This window comes from Homo sapiens, chromosome 4, assembly GCF_000001405.40.
Source record: "Homo sapiens chromosome 4, GRCh38.p14 Primary Assembly".
Taxonomy (NCBI): domain Eukaryota; kingdom Metazoa; phylum Chordata; class Mammalia; order Primates; family Hominidae; genus Homo; species Homo sapiens.
In genome coordinates this window covers 28,624,124-28,651,021 of record NC_000004.12, presented here as the reverse complement: position 1 = coordinate 28,651,021, position 26,898 = coordinate 28,624,124, and the positions used below count along the sequence as shown (strand labels likewise).

General features: G+C 34.4%; 1 long non-coding RNA gene across 1 annotated transcript; it reads right to left on the bottom strand.

Annotated features, from left to right (window-relative positions):
* Positions 1-20,885: 20,885 nt before the first annotated feature.
* LOC105374559 (uncharacterized) lies at positions 20,886-26,541 on the bottom strand. Its single transcript, XR_925530.3, has 3 exons — positions 26,424-26,541; positions 25,790-25,997; positions 20,886-22,192 (listed from the first exon to the last, which is right to left on the bottom strand). It is a non-coding gene; the product is annotated as an uncharacterized LOC105374559 (long non-coding RNA).
* Between the last annotated feature and the right edge of the window lie 357 nt (positions 26,542-26,898).

Here is a 26,898-nt window from a genome sequence, read left to right as displayed (position 1 = left end):
TTACTGAATGATTGCTGACCTGCTTCTCTCTGAGGTGGAGTCCTCAGGTGACAAGCAAAAGACCCTTGGCCACAACCACTACCTAGATCCCTTCTTCTGCTACCTCTAAGCTGGGTAAGGAATGTAAATACTGAGATCACCCCAGAGCTACCTTGAGCAGCCCTGGAGTGCCAAATCATGATCTACAACCAGCATTCAAGGGGGGAGAGGAACGCACATTTTCAGAGCATTGAGAGGGAACACTGCTGCAATGTGAAGATACGTAGGGGAGCCACACAACCAAGCAAGAGTCTACCAACTGACCAATAAGCCTAAGTGCCACTTGCCAGATGACACCCAAAGCTTCAACACCAAAAATACCTCATTATCATACCCTTCTGTGAAACTAGAGGCAAAAAGTCAGCTTCAAATAAAGACCCTACACAAAGCCTTGGCCCAGTGAAAATGTCCAGAAGAGAATTCTACCGACTGTACCCAATCTACACTGCAATTAAAGGAACACCTACATGCGGAGATGAGAAAGAACCAGTACAAGGACTCTGGTAACTCAAATGGCCAGGGTGCTCTATGCCCTCCAAATGACTATACCAGTTCTCCAACAAGAGTTCTTAACAAGGTCAAACTGGCTGGAATGACAGAAATAGAATTCAGAATATGGATAGGAACAAAGATCTTTGAGATTCAGGAGGATAGCAAAACATGATCCAAGGAAAATAAGAATCACAATAAAGCAATACAGGAGCTGAAGGACAAAATAGACATTGTAAAAAACAACCTAATGGGTCTGACAGATCTGAGTAACACAATTCAAGAATTTCACATTGCAGTCACAGATATTAACAGCAGAATAAACCAAGCTGAGGAAAGAATCTCAGAACTTGAAGAATGGTTCTCTGAAATAAGACAGACAAAAATAAGGAAAATAAAGAAAAAGAAAAAAGAATAAACAAGAATGAACAAAAGAAATATGGGCCTGTGTAAGGAGGCCAAATCTATGAATCACTGGCATCCCTGAAAGAGAAGGTGAGAAGGCATACAAGTTGAAAAACATATTTCAGAATATCATCCATGAAAACTTTCCCAATCTTGCTAGAGAGGCCTACAGTCAAATTCAGGAAGTATAGAAAACTCCTGAAAGATTCTACAGAAGAAGATATTCCCCAAGACTCATATTCATCAGATTTTCCAAGGTCTAAATGAAAGAAAGAATGTTAAAGACAGATAGAGAGAACGGGCTGCTCACCTACAAAGTGAACCCCATCAAGCTAACAGCAGATCTCTCAGCTGAAACCCTACAAGCCAGAAGAGATTGAGGGTCTATATTCAACATTCTTAAATGAATAATCTTCAACCAATAATTTCATATCCAGACAAACTAAGCTTCCTAAGTGAGGAAGAAATAAGATCCTTTTCAGATAAGTAAATGTTGAGAGAATTCTTTACCACCAAACATGCCTTACAAGGGGTCTTGAAAGAAGCACTAAATATAGAAAAGAAAGACCACTACCAGCTAATACAAAAACACACTTAAACACGTAGACCCCTGTCACTGTAAAGCAACCATACAAACAAGTCAACATAATAACCAGCTAACAGCACAATGACAGGATCAAATCCATACATATCAATAGTAACCTTGAATGTAAACAGGCTAAATGCTCCACTTAAAAGGCACAGAGTGGCAAGCTGTATAAAAAAGCAAGACCCAATGGCATGCTGTCTTCAAGAGACCCATCTCACATGTAATGACATGCATAGACTCAAAATAAAGGGATGGCAGAAAATCTACCAAGCAAATGGGAAACAGAAAAAAGCAGGGTTGGAATCCTAATTTCAGACAAAACAGATTTCAAACCAGCAAAGATAAAAAAACATCAAGAAGGACAATACATAATGGTAAAGGGTTCAATTAAACAAGAAGAACTAACCATCCTAAATATATATGCACCCAACACAGGAGCATCCGGGTTCATAAAGCAAGTTCTTAGAGACCTACAAAGAGACATAGACTCCTACACAATAATAGTGGGAGATTTCAACATTACACTGACAGCATATATCAGATCATCAAGGAAGAAAATTAACAAAGATATTCAGGACCTAAAGAACACAAAGAAGAAAACATAGATGCTGGGATCTACTTGAGGGAAGTTAGGGTGGGAGGATGGAGAAGAGTAGAAAAGATAACTCTTGGGTACTGGGATTAATATCTGAGTGATGAAATGACATGTACATCAAACCCTGTGACACGTGTTTACCTATGTAACAAACCTTCACATGTACCCACAAACCGAAAATAAAAGTTAAAATTGTTTTTAAAGCTTGGATTTTTGTTACTATTTTCACAATGTTTCTTAGATTTAACTGTTCCACCTATAACTTCTATCGCATTACACAGGACGGGCTGCCTACACACGTAGACTGAGTCAGTCTATAGTTATGAGTTTTTAATAATCACGTGCTTGTGAAAACATGTCACAATCTCACCTAAAATGTTTTGGAATTATTTTTGACTTTATGATGGTTTGCAGTATGATATTTATAAGTATATTGTGTTTATTGTAATTAGGTTTATATTTATATAAAATACATTCTAATGCTTTAATATTTTTGGATAAATTGACTTTTCAGTTTAGTCAATGAAATAAACTGTCAAACACACTGCTAGATGTATGCAATTAGACTCAGCCTGGGCTTTGTTGTTTTATTCCTGATAGTTAAATTTCAGGATGGTATCAATAGATGGTCTGGAGAAGATAAGACAATAATTTCCATTTGCTCAGTGATAGAATTCAACTAATCACCTATGCACACATGTCATAAAACACAGTATATGGTGCTCAATAACATTTTTGCCTGACTAGATTGTGAGTCAATTAATTATTTTTAACATGTTATAAACATCTTACAGTTTTATCTTAGATTTATTGTTTAAGAATAAGGTCAAAGGAGCTGACAAAGCAGTCTCTAATATTTTATTATCTCATGGAGAGGATGGTGGAAAGGAATACTGGATGAAAAAAGTACATTATATAACGGAGTTTCTGTAATGCTATAATATGAGGTATTATATTAGAAGAATTTTTTTTTAATGAATGCCCTCTATGAGATTACTGAGGTCAAAAAGGTAAAATCCAACATAAAGCGTACCACATTTGGTGAGGAAAGTAAGTTGACAAAGAATTATATTTCATTTTTGTGTGTAGTAGTTTTTACATTAAATTAGGGATAAGTGAAAAGTCACTCAGGATGTGTTGAGCAACAAGAGCAAGAATAGTTTACAATAAATCATGGAGAGTGAGAGAAGAACATGACTTAATTCCATTGAGTTGGTGCTGTCTTTTGTGAAGGCTTCATGGGTTATTGACACTCGATTGCATGGCTAAGTTGAATTTATAAAGTTAGCTTGGAGGATGTACAAAAAATATCTCAAATTATATTATCAAGTAATTAAAAAATTAGATCAATGTAACAGAATAGAAAGCCCGGAAGTAGACCCATATACATTTTGTCAACTGATCTCTGGCAAGGAAGCAAAGGCAATACAATGAAGTAAAAACAATTGTCTTTTCAACAGATGATGTTGGGATAACTGGATATCACATGCAAAAAATTAATCCCAACACAGACCTTACACTCTTCTCAAAAAATAACTCAAAATGGGTCACAGGCCCAAATGTAAAGTGTAAAACCCTAAAACTTGTAATGAAGAAAATCTAGATGACCTAGGATTTGGTAATTACTTTATGGATACAACACTAAAGGCACAATCCATGAATGAATGGATAAGCTGAACTTCATTAAAAGTAAAAATTGCTGTACAAAAGACATTGTCAAGAGAATGAAAATACAAAACACACAGTGGAAGAAACTCTTTACAAAGGAATTACAGAGTACTATTATACAAAAAAACCACAAAGAACATTTGAAACTCAAAAATAAGAAAAAACAAGCAACCCAATAAAAAAATGGGCAAAAAAGCTAAACAGATATCTCATCAAATAAGATATACAGATGGCAATAAACATAAGAAAAGATATGCACATCACATATCATCAGAAAAAAGCAAATTAAAATGACAATGAGATACTGATATACAACTATTGGAATGGCCAAATCCAGGACACTGAGTATGCCAAATGCTGGTGAGGATGTGGAGCATAAGTATTCTCATTTATTGCTAGTGGGAATGCAAAATGGTACAGCTACTTTGGAATACAGTTTGGCATTTTCTGACAAAACTAAACATGTTCTTACCATACGGTCCAATCGTGCTCTTCAGTATTTATTCAAAGAAGTTAAAAACTTTTATCTACAAGAGTACTTGCACAGAGACATTTATAGCAACTTTATTCAGAATTGCCAAAACTTAGAAGCCACCGAGATGTCCATCAGGAGGCGAATGAATGAATAAACTGCTATATCCAGATAATGGAATATTTTTCAATGCTAAAAAGAGATTAGCTATCACATCATAAAAAGACATGAAGGAAACTTAAATGTATTTTACTAAGTAAAAAAACAAGCCAATTTGAAAAGTCTACATACTGTGAGATTGGAAGGATATGACATCCTGAAAAAAGGTAAAATTATGCAGGCAGTAGAAAGATCAATGGTTGGCAGGGTTTAGAGGGCAGGGAAGGATGAATAGGCAGAACACAGGTTTTCAGGGCAGTGAAACTATTCTGTATAACACTATAATGGTGGATACATGTCACTATAAATTTTTACAAACCCATAGAATGTGCAACACCAAGAGTGAGTCCTAATGTAAACCACTGGCTCTGGGTGATAATGATGTGCCATAGTAGTTCATCAGTTGTAATAAATGTTCCACACTGGTGTGAGATGCTGACAATACAGAAGATTGCTTATGTGTGAAGGCAGAGATTGCATGGTAAATCTCTCTACCTTCCACTCAATTTTGCCTTGAACCTAAAACCACTCTAAAAAAGCCAATTAAATATAAAGCTACCTTAAAAGAATTTTGACAAATAGAATACAGTCTTTTATTCAACAAATATTTATTCATCAGCTCCCTTATGCTGTAATTTCATGGGTATAGAAATGTGAAAAATATATAATTTCAGTAAAGTGAGAAAAGAACAGTATAATAGGTGGCAAAGTACTATGGTAACTATTAGATAATAGATGATGGGGACAGATAATGACATATGAATGATCTGGTAATTACTTCCAGCTAGGAATTGAAGAAGACATTCTAGAAGAAGGGATACTTTTCCAGAGCAGTTAATGAATACTGAATATTTTAAAAAAGGTTAAAATGATGTTGGGCATCTTTTTTTGTAAGAATGATCAGGAACAGAGGCACAGAGCCTCAAAATGTAAATAATACCTAGGGCTATTGAAAACATGACATAAAGTTAGAAATATTTCAGAAATACATCATCCAGTACAATATTTTTAAAGTACTGGCAAATGGAAAAAAAATCATGTGATGGTTGAGGGACAATATAAAACTTTGGAAAGTATGTGGTCTTTGGAGGTAGAAAAATTTTATTCAAAACCCTCAGTGACTAGGTATATGTATGTATATACTTAAGTATATATACTTACTTATAGATAGATAAGTAAGTATATAAATAAGTATATATACCTAAGTATAAATATCTGGGTTATCTATATAAAATATGAATGAATACATTTAACTTTATAAAGATCATTATGAGGATGAATTAATTATATTGTAAAAAGATTAGTACCTTGCTTAAGACACAGTAGAAATTTTATAAATATTAATGACTGATAGCAATATAATACTGTATCAGTTATTTGAAAAAAATTAAATTTCCCTTCCCTTCGTAAGGGAGTAACCTTTGAGGAAATTTAAGAAGAGCAAGGCATGAATTGGTGAGAAGATGCGAAAGTAATGTATTACCCTCCTTACTGGTTCTGTAAATTAAAAAATTATTATTTTATTGCATTAAAAATATACAGCTTATTAAATCAATAAGTAGTAATACATTGTGATAAGTTTGTCTCTATTTGATGCCACTTATTTACTAATCTGTTAATATAGATCCTTTAAAGGCTATATCAAGGTCTCCATCAATGCACTGAGGAATTTTATAAAATAGAAGGACAATTGACTAAAATGAGCACAACATAAATATCTTGAGGATTTTGGGCTCTCTATGCAAATATTTTCCAATATTGTTAATGTATTTTTATGTCTTTGATAGTTTTTGAAATAACATATTATTTAAATAGACGTTATTTTACAAGGGACCCTTCAAAAGGGAAAAGGGTATGTGGAAGTCCTACGGTTATATACATTTTGGGAACATGAAATAATATATCTCCCATTAAAGAGTCACAATATTCAAACTTTGCTTATCAGGGCTCTATGGAATCCTGTTGTAATAAAGCTGTTTAACTTTGTCTAATATAGTCATTACAAATAGTCTACCATTACCAAAAAGTAGTTTTCCACTACCAAAAATGCAACATTCCAGGAAACCACGTTTTCATGGTGTAATAATTTGTATTATACAGACTTAGAATTTAGAATATGAGAATGGAGCAAATTGATTGCTAGAAAGTCTGTTTTAGATAAATGATGTTCAGTGGACCTTTCTGTGATGGTGGAAATATTCTATATTTGTGCCATTCAATACAGTAGCCACTAGACTATTGGTCTATTTGCACTTGAAATGTGGCTAATGAGACTCACAAATACAATTTTAAATTTAATTTAATTTAACTTTAAATAACAACACGTATTTTATTGTGTAGCACAGCTATAGTCCTTTTGCAGTACAATTTTAAATAAGCAAATCTGTATCAAATTCCTCACTAATGATCTTCATATATAGAGAGACTTGTGCCTTTGATGTGAAGAGTGCGTATTATAAATAGTTTAGACAGGGGTTATTTTATGGCTGACATGGCTTCATTCAATTACAAGAAGATTTTAATAGGATTAAGAAACTCTTCAAAAATAAATTATGACAATTCAGACACGAATTATCTACATATAGACACTCATTGCACAGTAAAAAAGAATCTAATGCAAATGTCAAAAATCCTTTTTGAAAGAATTGTTTTCTAAAGATAGTATAAGAACAAAAACTTTATCCTGTTCTGAAAGCCTAGAATGTATTATCATATTATGGCCATTGTAATGAAAATTTAGAACAGTAAAATTTAAACTTAAATTTATAATTTTATACAGAAATTTTGACTCAACGTTAAACATCTTAAAATTTACAATGTTAACTAGGAGAAATCTTTATTAAAAGACATTTTAATTAAATGTGGCTAATTATGCCTGTAATCCCAGCACTTTGGAAAGGCGAGACTGGCAGATCACTTATGATGGTGAGGAGTTGCAGAGGAGCCTGGCCAAAATGGTGAAACCCCGTCTCTATTAAAAATACAAAAATTAGCCGAGCATGGTAGCGTGCACCTGTAGTCCCAGCTACTCGGTAGGCTGAGGCAGAAGAATCACCTGAACCTGGGAAGGGGAGATTGCAGTGATCTGAGATCCACCCCTATACTCCAGCCTGGGTGACAGAGTGAGACTCTGTCTTAAAAAAAAAAAAAAAAAGTAGCTAATCAACAAATATAGGAGCCATATTAACCATTTTAGAACATAAAGCTAAAAAAAATCACACCTGGTAGATACAGGGAAAATGTAAAACGATATTAACACAATGGAATTAAATACAAAAAGATAAAAGGACAATGCAAGAATAATTTTTAAAAATTGTTATGAATATAATACAATAAAATTAAAATTAGTGGTGGTGCTTTTCTAAAAAATTGCATGTAGTGTCTGATAATTTTTTCTCTTTTTAAGTTTTCTATGTTCATATAATACAATGTTTGAACTACATTTATTAATTAAATGCAAAACCTACTTATTTATGTTTCCTAGGCTTAAAATATCATGTGTATATGTACTGTTTCAATTTTCCCTTACATTTCAAACAGTTCTACAATTTATATGTGACATTCTACTGTTGGTACATAATGCTTCCTAACAAATATATTTTTATGGCCATTAAATGTATATACAATAAGGCTCCTTTTTACATTATCTTTTAGGTTTGAATATTATTTCATAACACATTACTGTTGCTGCTCATGGCAACCCTGTCTTATGTTGCATTCGTCTTGTAAACCTTTAGTTATTTTATTAACAAAATGTTCCATGTAGAGAACCCTCTCTGGTAAGCAACTTATCAGGGGCATTTGTTCTGTAACACATTCTATAAATATTTACCTTTCTAAGATTGATTTTAATCAGAATTTCCTAAGGACATGCATAAAATTATGTGTATTTAAAGTTTTCCAGGTGGTTCTGATGCAAAGCTAGTTTGGTGTACCTTTACACTAGGCTCCAAAGAAACCGAAAAATTTTTGTAAGAATCGAAGTGATACTGCCCACATGTCATGTCAAGTATAGGAACTAATAAAAGTTTAAATATGTAACTAAAAAAGCAAGCTTGATTAGTTTTCAAACTTTTAAATTACTCTATGATAATTAATACATTACTCTGTCCCACTGTCTTTATTTAAATATTTGCATTATTTGGGGTACAGGCTAAGTTTTGGCAAACATGGACTCCAAAGCACAGTCATTTAAAGAGGATAAAAAAGACAAACAACTTTTCTTCAACATAACACTTCAAAGATAGGTAAGCAGTTTTGGAGACTCTGTCTCCAAAAAACAAACAAACAAACAAACAAAACAAACAGAAATGTGCTTCTATCTGGATTAACTAAACTCAGAGTTTTTGACATAAAATAATAGCAGAATGAATACCAAGGGGTAATTAACAATATTTTACCTAATACCTTTCTTCTGCCTGGAACTTAATTGTCAGCATTACTCAAAGATTTATCTCTGGTTCTTTATCATTTTTTGTATTTTTTTCACCAAGTTTTATTTTCAGAATTTAAAAAATGTGTCCTTTCTTTATACTCTTATGCACAGTTAAATCATCAGCTGGGCATAATTTTTCATTTCAAGACCTTATATCCAATTGGCCCGTCCACTTGGAGTCCTTTAATCCCATTGAATTTAGTATTTTTTGAACTACACAGACACATCTGTTTAATCCCCTACAGACACATCTGTTTAATCCTGTATTCCAGGCATCAGTGAATGCACCACAACTTAGTCATATACTTAGGTCTTTATGCGACCTTCTACCTCTAAAGAGTCACCCAGCCCTATAGATTTCTTCCTTGTACTGTTTGAATACATCTATTCTCTACTATTTTCAAGCCCAAACCTTAATTTAAATACTTATCACAGTTCATCTACATTATGGCAAATTTATCCCCACTAATCTTCCTACACCCCATTCTTGATTTCTCATATATTCCAAATATAGTACATCCCAGAAATTACAAATCTGATGATGTCACTTTCTTAGATAAAACTTTACAGAGACTGTAGCCAGGCACAACATGCTGAACTTTCCCCAGTCTCTCTACTGCCTTACATTCTATGTAGCCCTTCCTGACTAGTGTCAGTTCCCTGTAAAAAGAAGACTTTCTATCATATTTTGAAATCTTTCCAACCTCCTTCTTGGGATGAAATGACTACTATTTCCTCTGTTTTCTTCTTTTATCTGTACTTCTTTATGTCATAACATCTGTATTACAATTTTACAATCTTTTGCTTCCATATATACCTCAGGTTATTACCTTAGATTGCAAACACCTTGAAGTCACACAGTATTTGCTTCATTACTGCTGTGTTTAGAATTATAGAATTTTATAAACTGAGGAAACGAAAAAATCTTCACATTTAAAAAGCTATCTAAACCAAAGCTTTAACAAAGATAAGAATCCCAACAGTAATACAATATTATATTATTATTAAACATAGCCATATTGTATCAAAGACTCTATCTCAAAAGTTGAGGGTATTCCTATCACTTCTGAAAGCCATAATTCTCACAATATTCTTCCTTATATTTTACTGACAGGGTTTTTGTTTTGTTTTGTTTTTTATTTGACGGACGGAGTTTTGCTTTTGTTGCCCAGACTGGCGTGCAGTGGCGCGATCTCAGTTCACTGCAACCTCAGCCTCCCGTCAAGCGATTTTCCTGCCTCAGCCTCTCGAGTAACTGGGACTTGGGAGTTACTGGGCGCATGTCACCACGCTCGGCTAATTTTTTGTATTTTTAGTAGAGATGGGGTTTCACCGTGTTAGTCAGGATGGTCTCGATTTCCTGACCTTGTGATCCGCCCGCCTGGGCCTCTCAAAGTGCTGGGATTACAGACGCGAGCCATCCCCCCCGGCCATGATTTTTTATATATGATACACATTGATCCAACTTCAGGAAAACAATAAAATGCATTTGGTGCAGCATCTACAGCAAACATTGAAACACAAACTAGCATACACTATGAAAAATTTGGTTATACTAAATAAGATATCTTTAATTTTAATATGAGACTTTGGAGTAAATTGTTGTTATCTGCAAAAAAAAGTGTAATTAATTGTCATGAAAAGTGTAATATTCACACATACATGTTTTTCTCAACCTTTAAATGTTAAACTCAAAAACACCTGACCAAGAAAGTATAATTTAGATGCGAAACATTTTGGCTCACTGTGAAACCAATATAATTTACTCACACCAATAAAAATAATTGCTGAAAAGAAAGATTTATTATTCAGTCAATTCAATATATTATAAGCAGAAACCAATATACAGTGGCAATCAATTTATTATACTATATAAAGCATTTCATGTGGAAACCAATTTATAATAAACCAAAGACTTAGTGCCAAACACATTTATAAAAAGCTTGATATAATATTCACATAAATTCCAGGCAAAAAACTAAGACTTGACTTTATAGACACCCTAGAGAGGAACACTGCCCTTCTTTATTTCTAATCCTATCAATTTCCAAAAAAAATCACAGATTTATATGGACTAGGTTTCTTTTTTTATTGTCATTGCAAAAATGCAAAAGGAAATCATTAACAAAATAGAAATGAATTATCCTTTAAAAGCTTAAAAATTATTCAAATCTGGTAAGAGGTGGAAGTTACTATGACAGAACAGCCGTAGAATTACATTTTTGCTGACTTTGATTTTATTTAAAGGAATAATTTCTCAGCATGGATTTTGCAAGCACTAACACAGTTCTCTGATTCACATTTTAGATTTGCTGTAGCCAAAGGCGCACTTGTCAACTTAATAAAGCTTTTGCAACTTGAAATGAGTAGGTGTTTCCAAAACATTTCAATTATTCTCTTGATGACTCTGAGAGATGTGGGGTGAAACTGATTGTAGGAATGCAAAATTAGACATTTAGAGGCAGTCACAATGTCCTCTCTTACACAATCACATCTCTTGTGTCCTTTACACATGAACGACTATGTACAGAGATTTCAAGGGATTAATAAGCCAAAAAGAGGAAAATCAGGTAGGGATATTTCAAGGTTTTGCCTTTTTTCCAAATTTATTTAAAAGTGATTCCACTAGCCAATTTTTACTAGGGAATGTCCATCCTACAGCTGATGGGACAAATAAAAATAATAGTACTAGTAATCATGATAATAAGTCATTGCCCCAAGTATTTTGGGCGGGGATCCATCCTAAAATGAACAGCAGGAGCATTTATTTTCCAACCTGTAAGCATAGATAGTGCAGGATAAACTTTAATTTTTTATATACATATTATACCCAATATGAATTATATTTTAAAATTTAAAGCAATTATAATTTGTAGGTAGTCTGCATTTTATCTGGTGACATGGGCTGGCTTCTTTTAAAGTGGCAACTTAGATAGTAAAACTAAATTCCTCACTTTTCCTTAATTAAGATTTTACTTTTTTTTTTTTTTTTCTCCTGAACTAGGGTCTCATTCTGTCACCCAGGCTGGAGTGCAGTGGCATGATCATGACTTACTGCAGCAATGACTTCCCTGAGCTCAGGCGATCCTCCCACCTCAGCCTCCTGAGTAGCTGGGAACACAGGTGTCCACCACCACACCTGGCTAATTTTTTGTATTTTTGTTAGAGACAGAGTTTGGCCATGTTGCCCAGGATGGTCTCAAACTCCTGGCCTCAAGCGATCCTCTGACTTCAGCCTCCTAAAATGCTGGGATTACAGGCATAAGCCACCGTTCCCAGCCAGGGCTTCATGTTTATGGTCTCAGCTTAAAAAAAAAGGCATCTAAGAGCTTAAATGCCTCCCTTAATTTCTTATGGATAAACAGAAGCCTGGGTGTAAGAAATGGCTCAGCCTATTGCTGATCAGTAACCCACTCATTTTTTTCCTACTATGGCAATGCCCCTATATAGCACTTTAAAAACAGATGATTTCTGCCTGGGTGTGGTGGCTCACACCTGTAATCCCAGCACTTTGGGAGGCTGAGGTGAGTGGATCATGAGGTCAGGAGATCGAAACCATCCTGGCCAACATGGTGAAACCCCATCTCTACTAAAAATACAAAAATTAGCCAGCCATGGTGGTGTGCTCCTGTAGTCCCAGCTACTCAAGAGACTGAGGCAGGAGAATTGCTTGAACCCAGGAGGTGGAGGCTGCAGTGAGCAGAGATTGCACCACTGCACTCCAGCCTGGGCAACAGAGCTAGACTCTGTCTCAAAAAACAAACAAACAAATAAAAAACAGACGATTTATTTGAACTTTATCTACCAGGAACCTTGCCAAAAACTTTATATGTAATATCTCATTTAATAAACTCAACAAGCTTATGATATGAGAGTTATTATTTTTGCCATGATTTCCATTAACACAATCTTTGAGCAAGTAGGGTTATGAGTTGCCTAAAAGTCTATCATGTGTTTAATGGTAATTCAGTTACTCAAAACCTATAAAAGTTTCCTTTTTTATGTTGATCTGATCATGAAAATACAAGGCAGAAAATTGTGACTCACTGTGGCTCCCCACCCTGGCCAATAATTCCTCACCATTCCAACTTCTCTGTATTGTTGCTTATTTTTCAATCACTGCTTTGTTAGGAATAGGAAACAAATGCACGTTAGGTAAATAGGGAAAATGACAGGAAAAAAAATCTTTAGAAACATACACCACACACATACACACACACACACACACACACACACACACACACACACAAGAATGTATGAATATATGAGGATTCATTTAAATATTAAATCCCAGGAGAGTTTACTGGTGAAGTCAGCATCCTAAGAAAAGTACGGATAAAGATAACGAAAATCCTGTTCAAGTACCTAGAAGAAAAACCACAATCTAAGTGGGGTTCCCACCAGCAATGTGGTGACTTTGTGAGAAAAAAATAGATGATCTAAGTGTACATTTAGCTAAAAGGAATATTCTTAGGTGAACAACTAGGAAAAGAGTGTTCCCCCTTGAATGATGAATTAAGGAGGTTCCCTTCTTTGAGTCTGATGCGGTTGTACACTAGCGATCACAGTTTGGCAAGCAAGCCCACAGCTTGATTTCAGCTGTCACTCCCACCCACTTGGCAAAAGGGCCCATGAAGAGGACACTACACACAATAATTTTGTGGGTGGTCCAGCAGGTAGTAAAAATACTTACACCTCCATTGCAAATGGGTGTCAATAATCCAATCTCCAGTAGACTTAGAAATATACCCAGTTCCCATGATGAACATGTTTCCTCTTTGTTCTGCTTTTGTGGAAGAGGTAATCTGAATTTGTCTGGGAATTACAAGATGATCAGACATAAGGAAGAAGTAAAACCTTATATAGTAGGTCATTAAAAAATGTTTTTACTGCTACTACTATCATTGCCAGAGAATAAACTCAAGTTTGTTGCTAACCGTAGTTTACTTTTGAGTCATTCTGCTGCTATTTCAGGTATTACAATATTTTTTTTTAGTCTTTCTTACATGCACTCCAGCGGAACAGAGATTATATCTGTTGTACTCATGGTTGTATTTGCAGCACATCATAGTACTTAAATAAATGTTAGCTGAATGAATAAAGTAATGAATGGGATGTGGATTATAAATGTTACAAAATACGTTGTATTTGAGTAATATATTATAGCATGTGGGGAACACATTCTACCATAAGATAAGATTGGGTGCTCAAACAGAAAACAGAGAATAACTCTCTCCCCAACTTTCTGATGTCTTCCTCCCATTTTGCCTTTCTGAACACTCTTTAAAAAGTTTTTAATTGGGCAAAGATTGAGTGTAAGGATAAAAAATAATGTAGATTTGAGAAGACCTATTCCAAGAGAAACTAGACTTATCTGATTAGTAAGTTAGGTAGTCTGAAGCAAGAAAAGTATCCAAATCTGAAAAGTTAAGGGCGATATTCTCATGCTAAGAACTATTACGTTGACCCTCGAATGATGCAGGTTTGAATTGAGCTGGTCTATTTATAGGCAAATTTTTTTCTGCAAATACAGATAGAAAATACAGTATTTGTGGGATGAAGTCCCACGTATAGGGAGCAAGGACTTTTCCTATACATAGGTTGCCCAGGGCTGACTGCAGGACTTAAGTATGCCAGGATTTGGAGTTTATTTATTCATTTAATTAATGCATGTTTATAGAACACCAACCATTTGCCATGTGCTAGGTCAAACACTCATTATTCAATAAGATAAAGATGGATGTTAATCTTATTCAAATAAATGCACATTTCTTTGAAAGTGATTAATTATATAATAACAATAAAGAATGACCAGGACCAATGGTCAAATTAGTTGATCACCATAATTCTTTCAAAGCACTGCACTTCTACTACTGGCTGATGGAGAATCAACACAGTGCCCTGCCATAGAGCATAGGCCTGAGTCAAACTGGCCAGGTTTGAATGCTTAACTTTACCAATGACTTAGGAAAGGTGCTTAATCTATGCTTTGTTTTCCTCATTAATGAAATAAGAAGAATAACACTAATAATAAAGTTGTCATGAAGAATAAATAAGTTATCATCAGTAGCATACTTAGAACTTATTGCTACATAGTAAGGACTCTGTAAGAATTTATTAAATAAATAATATTTATGGATCCTTTAAAATACTAGGCTTCTATACACCTTTGGAAATAATGTGCTTAGGTGATGTAAACTCTCCTTACTACCTCCTAGGTTCAGGGGATTTCACTGATAGCTTTGTTCCTAAGAGTAATGTATAAGGTTGATATATGGGAATGTAGCAAGAGGTGGAATCAGTTATTTAGTATTTGCTCTAAACGTATTTTAGAAGTCAAGGGATTAATAAGATTTAGAAGTAAGTAAAAGGAAATATATGCGTTTATTGTAGAACCATATTAGCAAAATCCAAGCCTGCATAAAGAACCAAGCCATATTTATTTCTTGAGTGCCTACTAGGATTTAACTGTTCAGGATAGATTACAGGTATAAGACCAGCAGCTTATATGATTGAAGAAGTAAGGACAGTATCTATGATATTTTATTAAGGAGTACAAAACAGTGTAAGATTATGATTGTGTTATAGGTACTTCCTGACATCAGAAATGGAAGAAAGGGAAAGAATGAAGCTTGAATGAGCCAAATAAATTGTATTTGACCCCACTCCCAAATTCCATCTTTTCAACCCTTTTAACTCATCTCTTACTTTTATACTTGAGTGGTATGCCCTTGTGGTCTTGTCTTAGGCTTTGTCTATTATAGAAGCTGAACAAAAAATTAAGTGCAGATGCTGTTCAACTGTCTTCTCAAGTTAGAAGATCTTGTTTCTGGAGATTTTAAATTGGAAACCCATGATATATGAATGTGAGTTTCTCCAAAGAGACCCTAGAATAGTCTTCCTTGGAAATTCCAGACCGTGAACAAAGAGGGATTTACATGGAGAAAAAAAATCCTTTCTCTGAGGAATTTAGCATTTGGGGATGATTTATTGCAGCTTAACTATCCTTGACCATCTCAGGAGTACCTTACATACAGGCACGTCCACATATGCAAACATGGAGATTTTAAATTGGAAACCCAAAATATATGAATGTGAGTTTCCCCAAACAGACCCTAGAATAGTCTTCCTTGGAAATTCCATGAGCAAATAGGGATTTACATGGAAAAAAAGCATCCTTTCCCTGAGGAATTTGGCATTTGGGGATGATTTGCTACAGGTTAGCTATGCTTGTTACCATCTCAAGAGTGTCTTACATACAGTCACACCCACATATGCAAACATGTATTTATATAATTCCTCAGAATTAACTCAACTGAAATCTATAAGCTTATTACTTGCTTTATATCTCCCAAAACTGTCCATGTAAACAAGTTGAAAATATTAATGTTTTAAAATCGAGCACACAAAGAATAGTAATTAATATTCCTATGTTTGTCTGACCAGTGCTGAAGAATCATTGTAATCCAGTTGTTTCAGAAAGACAAACCATTACAAGATGGGTTTTCTGTCCACTGACTTTCAATTGATATTATCTATTAAACAAGGAGAAGATGGAATAATGAAAAAGAATCAGTCATTTGTCAGCACCTGAAGTCCACCAACCACCAGGAGTTTTAAAGGTTAAAGGTCACCTATCATTACTTGTATTATAAATGTTAGAGATGATGGATATGCTAATTACCCTGATTTGATCACTATACACTATATGTATTGAAATATTACTATGCGCCCCATGAATATGAACATTTATTATTGGTAAATTTAAACATTTAAAAAGACAATATTGAATTAAATATCAGCAAACACTTACTGAGAGCTTATCATGTGCCAGGCATTCTTCCAAAAATTAACTCATTCAGTGTGTACTAACTTAATCATCATAAGAACTCTAAAAAGCAGGTGAAAAAAAAAAAAGGAGGGAGAGAGGATGATAAATAACTTGCCTAAGATCACACAGCTAGTAGTCAAACCAAGGGTGTCTGCTCATAGTCTATGCTCTTAACCTTTATATTGCACTGCCTCATATTGGCTCATATTTGTATATAAAATAGGTTCACAAGGCAGAACTCATATTTTTGCCTTGTTGAGCTTTTGCAGACAAGACAAGTTTGTCATGATATAAAATATTTTTTTCTCAAAGATGAGAGCATATTGAGGTCATTTCTGATGTTTTCTTATCTGGTTCAAATAAATAAAAGCTGTTTTTCAACCACGACATCAGAAGACTGCAGACTTGAATGAATCTAAAGGTCAAAAAGAACAGAAGATACTGCTGGTCCTTGGGTGACCATCATCTTATTAGAAAAATTACACCTGATTCCTCTTTTAGATAATGCAACAGGAAATGAATTCTTAGCAAAAAAAATCTGAAAATGAAAGTTGCTCTTTTCATTAAATGTATATTAGCAGAAAAGAGTAATGATGACTTGTTAATTAAATAAATTTCTTGATCTAAGAGACACAACCGAGTTTGTGTTTGTTAGGTAACTTTGAGGCGTAAAAATTTATGTATGGTTTTAAATGTATATAAGTAGCATACTAATTTGCAAATTTCTCCTAAGAAAAGGATTACAGAGAGGTAATTACCATGAAAATAAAGAAATAATAACAGATTTAAGGGAGGTTATGTGCATTTTAAAATTTCTTGTTTTTCATTATTACCTGTCATTCCAAACCCCATCTGCTGTAGGCTAGTAAGAAAATTAGTTTCCTCTTTCTTACGGCCTTTTCTTGGTAGATCAGGGACATCTTATAGGGACATGTTTGACACACTCATTAACAAGATGGTAGTACTCCCCATTAGATATAGTTGGTGGCCTTGGGAACATTTCTCTCTCCCTGTTCTTATTTGAACAGGGAAAAAAAAAGCCAAGGAAAATAATCTAATTTTACTAAAACAGATAAATGAATGAATAAGTCACATCTATATGAAATCATTGATACATATCTGCATAAAGTAAACCAAGAAGATACAACAAGCAAATATATAAAAGTGTGCTAATAACATCACATAGAAAGACTGTTTTCCCAGGTTTTATTAATTTAAATAGGCTGTTGAGATGTCTTACTTTCTGATTTTTGGATTAAATGATCTTATATATTGTCTCTATATTAATCCATATTGTAGTCACAAACGTGAGTTTAATTACCCAAGATCTCCTAGTATGAACGAGTTTACTATACTTAACAAACTTTATATTTTTGTAAGACTAAAGAAACGTTTAAGCTGTCATAAAAAATACTGATAGAGGGAAGTTTCTACCCTAAATGTAATGCTATTCCTTAAATTTCTTCTTTTTCACCCCAATCATCTGCATAATGATCATGACTTTTCTGTGAACCATCAACCATCACCAACTCCATTCTTCTTTACAGCTGCTTTACTAACATTGTATATTTTTTTCTCCAAACACTTATCCTTTATAAATAGCTGTGTGCAAATTGTTAATTTTAGTTTTCCCCATCTTTTCTTTAGGTATTTTAAGAAATAGGATTTGATTCTTTTCTCTTCTTCATATGCATCACTATTTTCATCGCTCTTCTTCCTGTTCTATACATTTTTCTGCATTTCCTCTTTCTTTCATTTTACAATTGTGACAGGCAAAGTCCTTTCAAGAGATACAGTCTAGTAGGGAAGAAAGGCAAGTAAACAGGCGACAACAATACTAGTTGACAAATTCTAAGTTACGAGCAATCATGAGGGATTATGAGAATATGTAAAAGTAGTTGTATCTAATTTTGAGGGATGAGGATATGACATCTAGTTAAAAATCTGCCTTTTAGCTGAATTTGAAAGAATGACAACAAGTTACCTTACAACTAACAAAATTAATGCTAGGAAACTTGAATCAGATGGTTAGTTAACATTTATTCCAGAATTTCTCATGTTGCCGGAAGTCAAGGACCCAGAATGGAGGGACTGGCTGAAGCCACGGCAGAAGAACATAAATTGTGAAGATTTCACGGACAATTATTCATTCCCCAAATTAATACTTTTATGATTTTTTATGCCTGTCTTTATTGCAATCTCTGAACATAAATTATGAAGATTTCTTGGACATTCATCACTTCCCCAATCAATACTCTTATAATTTCCAGTGCTTGTCTTTACTTCAATCTCTTAATCCCATCATCTTGGTAAGCTGAGGATGTATGTTACCTCACGACCCTGTGATGATTGTGTTAACTGTACAAATTGTTTGTAAAACATGTATATTTGAACAATATGAAATCAGGGCACCCTGAGAAAGAACAGAATGACAGCGATTTTCAGGGAACAAGGAAAGATAACCATAAGGTCTGACTGCCTGTGGGGTCGGGCAGAATAGAACCATATTTTTCTTCTTGCAGGGAGCCTATAAACGGATGTGTAAGAGAAATATTGCTGAATTCTTTTCCCAGCAAGGAATATTAACAATTGATAACACTGGGGAAGGAATGCATTCCCAGGGGTAGGCCTGTAGTTGACCACTCTGGGAGTGTCTGTCTTATGCAGTTGAGAGAAGGGATGAAATATGCCCTGGTCTCCTGCAGTGCCCTCAGGCTTACTAGGATTAGGAAATTTCAGCCTGGTGAATTCTAGTCAGACCGGTTGTCTGCTCTCGAACCCTGCTTCCTGTTAAAATGTTTATCAAGACAATGCGTGCCCAGCGGGACATGGACCCTCATCAGTAATTCTAATTTCACCCTTGCCTTGTGATCCTGCTCTGCCCTTTTGCCTTGTGATCTTTTATTGCCCTTTGAAGCATGTGATCTCTGTGACCCACTCCCTATTCGTACACTCCTCCGCTTTTGAAATCCCTAATAAAAACTTGATGGTTTTGCAGCTCCAGGTCACCATCACAGTCCTACCAACATGTGATGGCACCCCCGGAGGCCCAGCTGTAAATTTCTCTCTTTGTACTCTTTCTCTTTATTTCTCAGACCAACTGACACTTAGGGAAAATAGAAAGAACCTACGTTGAAATATTGGAGGCTGGTTCCCCTGATATTTTCAGATATATATTTCTAGAATTATTATAACTACATACCAATCCCACTGGATTAAAGGAAGATTAACAGAAGTAAAGCACAACAAATGTATGTAATCAAAGTTTTACATGAAATGAAAGCCTCCAGAATGGAGACCCAATGGAGACAGGAAAACTGTCCAAATTTATGCTTAGATTTGATGAAGAATGGACAGCCATGTAGAACTGTGATGGGATAGGAATAGACTAAAGGGGGAAACCTAGCAAGATGTGTCTGTTCAGATTCTCCTTGGCCTCTGTGCAGCATTCTTTCTTTCCGGGTATAAGGCCAGACCCTCTGGGATGGGCCTTCCTTACACAGAAAGGAAGGGGAAAAATAGAGTAATATTTTTGCGTTTTATAGCTGGCTTTGGGGGATAGGGGTTCTGATTTCTATAGTCTCCCTTAGAGTCTAGTTTCTCCACCTTGACTTGAGGAAGAATGAGGCGGAGAGACAGAAAGGCAGAAGGTCAGTGAAAACTGTGCTACTAAGGCTGCTATTGAGGCTGCTTGTGAGGCCTTTATTTTGGGGTATTAAAGAAGCGAGGTCAACAGGACCTCACTTCTGAGGTCCTTTCAGTTTCCTTCAGTGTAAGATACTCAGCATGCCAAGGTGTCATGCTTTGGGGTTTCATGCACCAAGTTCCAACAATGGTAACTTTCATGTTCTGTTGGTAAAAGCTGACCAGTTCACTGTAAGGTTTAGGTAAGAGTCACAATGTAGGTCATAATCTATCATCTGCAATAGCTTTTAGATTGTGTCATCCTTGTCAGAAAGTGAACTAATGTATCACACTCTAAATCTTTGTCTTCTTTATGCATATCTCCGAAAGAAAATAATATTGCTTAAAAAATTGAATGAACATGCTCTCCTATCAGCAGGCAGTCTTCAGATAATATTGTGCTGTGATGCAAAAAAATATAGAATGGTAGATGAGAACCTTTATACTGCATTAAATAACATTTTATGAACAGAAATAGAGCATATAATATCTGAGGCAAAGAGGTAGACCACAAAAATGTTGAATAAGATGTAATTTATTTTCTTAAATGGCTCTTGTCTATTATATTTCAGTTCCATCTCCCTTTATAATAGATATTCTTATCAGACATTTATCTGCCATCACTTTCTGACATAATACATATCTTGTGGTTTCCAATTTTATCACACAATAAACTTCTTTTATGTTCTCAAAAATAACATCAGTTAGAATTGACTAAAAATAATCCACAGTATTACCATAGGTATTTCAAGCTAGAAAACTGATTTTTTTTAATACTGTTACTGCCTATAAAGAATGGATTTTGGAGGACATTGAAGGATTCTACTAAAATATCCTCAGAGGGTTTTAAAGCTTTTATTTCTACTTAAATTACAAAGAGAATTTGTTCAGGTCATTACACAAAAACAAAATAAGCCAAAAAAGATGTCTCCTTATATTTCAGCCTCTTTTGGTAGTTTTCTCCATATTAATAATTGTTGTTGTTATAATATTAGCATTATAAATGTTTTTTCAGTTTCATCATTATTTGTTAACCTGCTTATGATGTATCTTTAGTTACCTATTTTCTGCAAATTTCTATACCAAACCAAAGATAGACTGAATTTCAAAGCATCATAAAGGGTGATTCTGTACTCTTCCCTGCAAAACAATAACTTTTTCCCATCTGTAACACGTCTTTCTCCAACTTTATCTTTACAATCATTATTAATAGCTTCTAAATTCCTGATTCTTCCAAAAAGCATTACCAGTAATCAAATCTGTACCTGGTTCCTCTCAATTAATTCTGAAGTGCCCGTGGAGCATTCCTTCTAATCATCTTTTACAAACGGCAGTAAAATTACATACTTTCCTATGCTTGGCATACCTAATTATTTTATTATCTGTAAAACAACAAATTGTAATTGCTTTGTTTGTAGGTGGTCTTTCTGGATGGAGAATAGATTAAATCTGTTGCAATGTGATGAACACTTTAGGGAGATTAAACATTCAGACCTTATACTCACTCTTTTGCCAAGCAAATTAAAGACATGTCTATTTCAGTGACAAATGACATATTAACTTTCATAGTAATAAAATAATGCCTCTTTATCTGCTTATTGTCTGTTCTTTTAATTGTCTTTGCATTATCTACAGTGAAATGCAGCTTAAAATCTATAGTAGTATAAGTAAACTTCAAGCGACCTGGCACTTTAGAAAATATTTGAATGAATATTTTGTTGCATCTATACAAAGTCCACTTGGATAAAGAATATGATGCTTTTCTCAGACATTGAGGGTTTGAATCTTGATCAAACACAGATAGCTTTGTTACCTTCAGCACCAAGCTATAAAATGAGAAAGATAGAATGAAGTTAATTAATTTTCTTGGATAAATAAAAAAGATGAAGCGCTTAGCACAGGGTATGGCACAGAATAAATATTTGACTGTTAGCTGTGACTTTTATGGCCAAGTAAAGAAGAGTCTGTCAAGATATGTTAAATATAAGTATGTTAGTATTTCCATTTTGTTCACTTATTTGATATATATATAATCTTACTTTTATTTTCAATTGAAAGTCAATGTATTCTAAACTGAAAATTCTTACAAGATAGAAATGAATTTTAAGTTCTTCCTACGAACCATCTAATGAACAATCTCTACATTTAACTTTGTAGCAATAGTTTTTAAAGATTATGCGCAAAATCCATTTATAACTATAGTCTATGAGAACATAGTCTATATGAGTTTCTCTAAGAAAATCTCTTCGATACCTTTCCAAAGGAAGATATACCACCTAAAAATACTATGGGATTGGTTCTGGTATTTATCTTTACCCAGTGCTATTAGTGTAACCCTGCGTTTCAGTGTTATGCAATCAAACTATTTTCATGCAAAATCTGTAAAGAGTATTTGTTGACTGAAAACAAGTTTTAAGAAAAGTTTTAAGGAAAGCAATATAGTAAAAGGAAAACAATTGCTTAAAAACACGATTTTCATAATATAGTCCCATGAAAACTCATGTAGATTTAAAAAATTATGTCAGACAGCCAAAAATTTTCAATGACACTTAGGTCTAGTGAATTAAAACATTGATTTGGCAGTGTTTTAGAATGTATTTATTTTATTTATTTATTTATTCTATTTATTTATTTATTTATAAGTGTGGTGGCACAATCTCGACTCACTGCAACCTCCACCTCCCGGGTTCATGCGATTCTCCTGCCTTAGTCTCCCAAGTAGCTGGGACTACAGGTGCACCACCACTCCCGACTACTTTTTGTATTTTTTTTTTTTAGTAGAGACGAGGTTTCACCATATTGGCCAGGCTGTTCTCAAACTCCTCACCTCATAATCCACCCGCCTCAGCCTCCCAAAGTGCTGGGTTTACAGGAATGTATTTATTCTTTAAATAAAATGTATTCCTTTATATTCTTTGAAATATATTAATTTTAAAAAAACAAAACTCAAGAAAGAAATTATGCATCACTGAATATCAATAATAAATAATTTGATAAAATTCATTTGATAATAAGCAAAAACACAAGATTTTACGTTAAATATATGCTGCAATATAGTATTTTGTTCTAAATGGCCATTTATTGCACATCTGTTTACATGTTATATGCTTTGTGTATACTTAAAAAACTCATTAGAGAGTGTCTGAAACACAAAACAGTCACCATTTATTAGCTAGTTATTTTTAGTTTCCTGTATATATTAAGATATTTTTGAGACTTCAGAAGTTGTTTAAAGATTATTTTTCTTAGTGCCTAAAATATAAAACTAAAACAAAACTATTGTTTCTTTGAGATTTATATGGAAGATGTAAGAAATGAATTTGCCCTAAAATTTACTTCAAAGCTTTTTTAAGACTCTTCTGAATGACAAAAAAACCTTCTTTATACAGAGTCATGGGACAGATCTAATATGAAATATTTTAAAAATCCCCTAAACTGTAAACTAAACATTATTTAAAATGACTTTGTATTTTTTAAAACTATGAAAAATTATGAGAAAAACTATTTTTAAATGCCTTTTGTATCTGACCTATAAAACTTTACAAAGACATAAAAGGTTAAATTTGTAAAAATTTTCTTCAGAATGTGTTTTATAAAAAATAATATATGCAATAAAATATTCAAATCTTACTTTATCATAATCTGAACTATATCAGATTATATTTGAAGCTTCAAGCTTCTAGAAATGGTTTACCTGGTAGTAATTTTATTTCCTGAAGAATATTTTGAATCACCAGCATCATAGACTCTTACCTGCACACTTAAAACTCTTGGATACTTTATGGGTTAGCTTTTGTTACAGAATAAATCACCCCAAAATTTAGTGGTTTGTGAAAACAACCATTTATTTAGCTCACCCTGTACTCAGCAGGGTAGTTCTGTTGATTTCAGCCAGGCTCAGCTGATCTTGGCTGGATCTCAATCTTGGCTTTGTGAGTGGTTGCCAGGTAAACTGGGACTAGCTGAGAGTTAGCTGCAGGAGGGTGCTGAATATTACTGCTTCTGCCTTCTTACTTCCCAGCAGAATAGCCACATCTTGTTTACCAGGTAAAGCAAACAGTAAAGAGACATCTCTTTTCGTATGTATGCTTATATCACTCTTGCTGCTCTCCCACTGGCCAAAGAAAGTTACTTATGAAGTCCAGAGTCCCTGTGGGAAGATTCTCCCTAAAGATATAGCTAGAGGGCAGCATGAATAAATTGGGGGTCATTACTACAACAATCTATCACAGAAATTTGAGCCCTTTTATTCTTTTTTAAATGCCAACAAATAAACATAAACATTTGAAAAATTGAGATTGGGTCTCACAGAGAATCTTCCATAAAGGATTGTTTTCAGTAGATGATTTTGATAACTGCTGGCTGATTGAAATAAGTTCAGTATTTATGGAAGGTGATAAATTAACCAAAGGTATCACAGAACTGCTTGCTCAAGTAAGATGAAAATACTGTGGATGGAAGCCAGTTTTTTTGAAGTGATGGTTAAGGTTTTAGAAATAAAGAGTATAATGAAAGAATAAAGAGTATAATGAAAGAATAGATAAAGAGTATAATGAAAGAATAGATAATGGAGAGTCTTGTAATCTAAGTGAAAAATTTGAATTATTTGAGAAAAAATTAACAAAGTAATCACTGAAAATATTAGGTTTAAAAAGCTTATCATTGATTTGAAAATATATAATGATGAATTCAGGATTTGGGGGATTTTGGCTACTGGATGAAAATGATTTGAGAAATTGCCATTAGCTAATAAATTCCATGTGGACAGGGTCTGTGTGTGTTTTGTTTAACATTGTATCCCCTTGAACCTCCTATGTTTAGAAGACAGCCCAGCACAAATAAAGCACTATTTTATGATTTAATTAACTTAATTGATTAATTTTTTATGTTATATTTTATCATGTCAGTTTCATTCACTAGGTTTAGTGAGAAATTCAGGATCAGTCTAAAATAAGCTGTTTCTTCCCCCACATGACATATGTGACATATGTGTCACAAGAAAATGAGTATTGGGTGTAGTTCTTAGCCTATGGCGGTCACCAATTACAAAACACTCCTTCTAATCACCAGCTCTTCACCCAGTATCAGGCAACATTTCTCAGGGCAGGCAGCTGTGATGCTCCCTAGGAACCCTCTTCTCTGTCTACAGGCTCTGCCACATGGACCATTGATTAATTTGCAAGGCAAGAAGCTTCGTATGGAAAGGCCATACCCTCCGAAGCTGTTATGCATAAGGAGGAAGCAGCTTTTCATGTTGTGAAAAAAGTCACTTAGTACAGTAGCCTAGAATGGCTTGAGAAAGGTCACTTTTCCTGCCTTTGGTTTTGGAGTCACTTTTTCTTTTCTTTGCAAATCATCAAACTATGGGCTTGTCTTTATGGGGCTTCTAAGATACAAATAAGTTGTGAGTCTTATTCTCATACCTCTGAATCAGTTCCTTCTGAACACAGGTGTGATCATGTCCACTTTACAAAGGAACAATGGAAGAAAAACATTTTCTTTTAAGATTAACAATTTACTCATGGTTTATACGTTGAGAAAATAAAACAGAATTAGAGTCCAGATCTTAATTTTATTACAGTGTTTCCTCTTCTGGCTGGTTCTGCTTCTTCAATTCAGGTGGATAATGTACTGTAGAAATAAAATAAATGCTGATGTCAAAGGAAATATACTAATCCCTGGGTATTTTTAAAAAATAGTGTATTTATATAAAGAAGTAGATTTTGTCTAATATGGAAATCGTATCACTATGTAAGTCCTAAGAACATATATGTTCATTGATGAGGGACAAATCCCCTATATTAGCATCATTTGGCTTCTCTTTTTCTTTCTGTCTCCTGAGCACTATCTATATTAAGAATGGACATATAACCATGAATAATACAGACAAAGTCCCTTTCTCCATGGAGCCTACAATCTAGTGAGGAGAACTGCCATAAAGAATAAATGAGGTGGATGGATCACCTGAGGTGAGGAGTTTGAGATCAGCCTTGTCAACATAGCAAAAGCCCGGCTCTACTAAAAATACAAAAATTAGCCAGGTGTGGTGGTGCATACCTGTAATCCCAGCTACTCGGGAGGCTGAGGCAGGAGAATCACTTGAACCTGGAAGGCAGAGGTTGCAGTGAGCCTAGATCAAGTCATTGCACTCCAGCCTGGGTGACAGAGCAAGACTCTGTCTCAAAAAAAAAAAAAAAAAAAAAAAAGAGTAAATGAATATGAGAAGAGAAAATTACAAATTTTAATGACCGATGTGGTAGATAGTGGAGAGCAGCTTTAACCAGGAAGGTGGAATTTGGAGATCTCCTGTTAAGGTAATATCTGAGCTCACAACTGCAGAAAGAGAAAGACCCTGATAGGTGGTAAGGAGATGAAAGCATTCAGACAAAGGGAATAGCAAGTGTAAAGTCTCTGAGTTGAGAATGAGCTTTCTACAATTCAGAGACAGAAAGGAAGCCAGTCTGGCCAGACTTTTTAAGTAAAGATGAAGCCCCTAAAACATAGATTTAATATGGTAAGAAGAGCCAGGTCA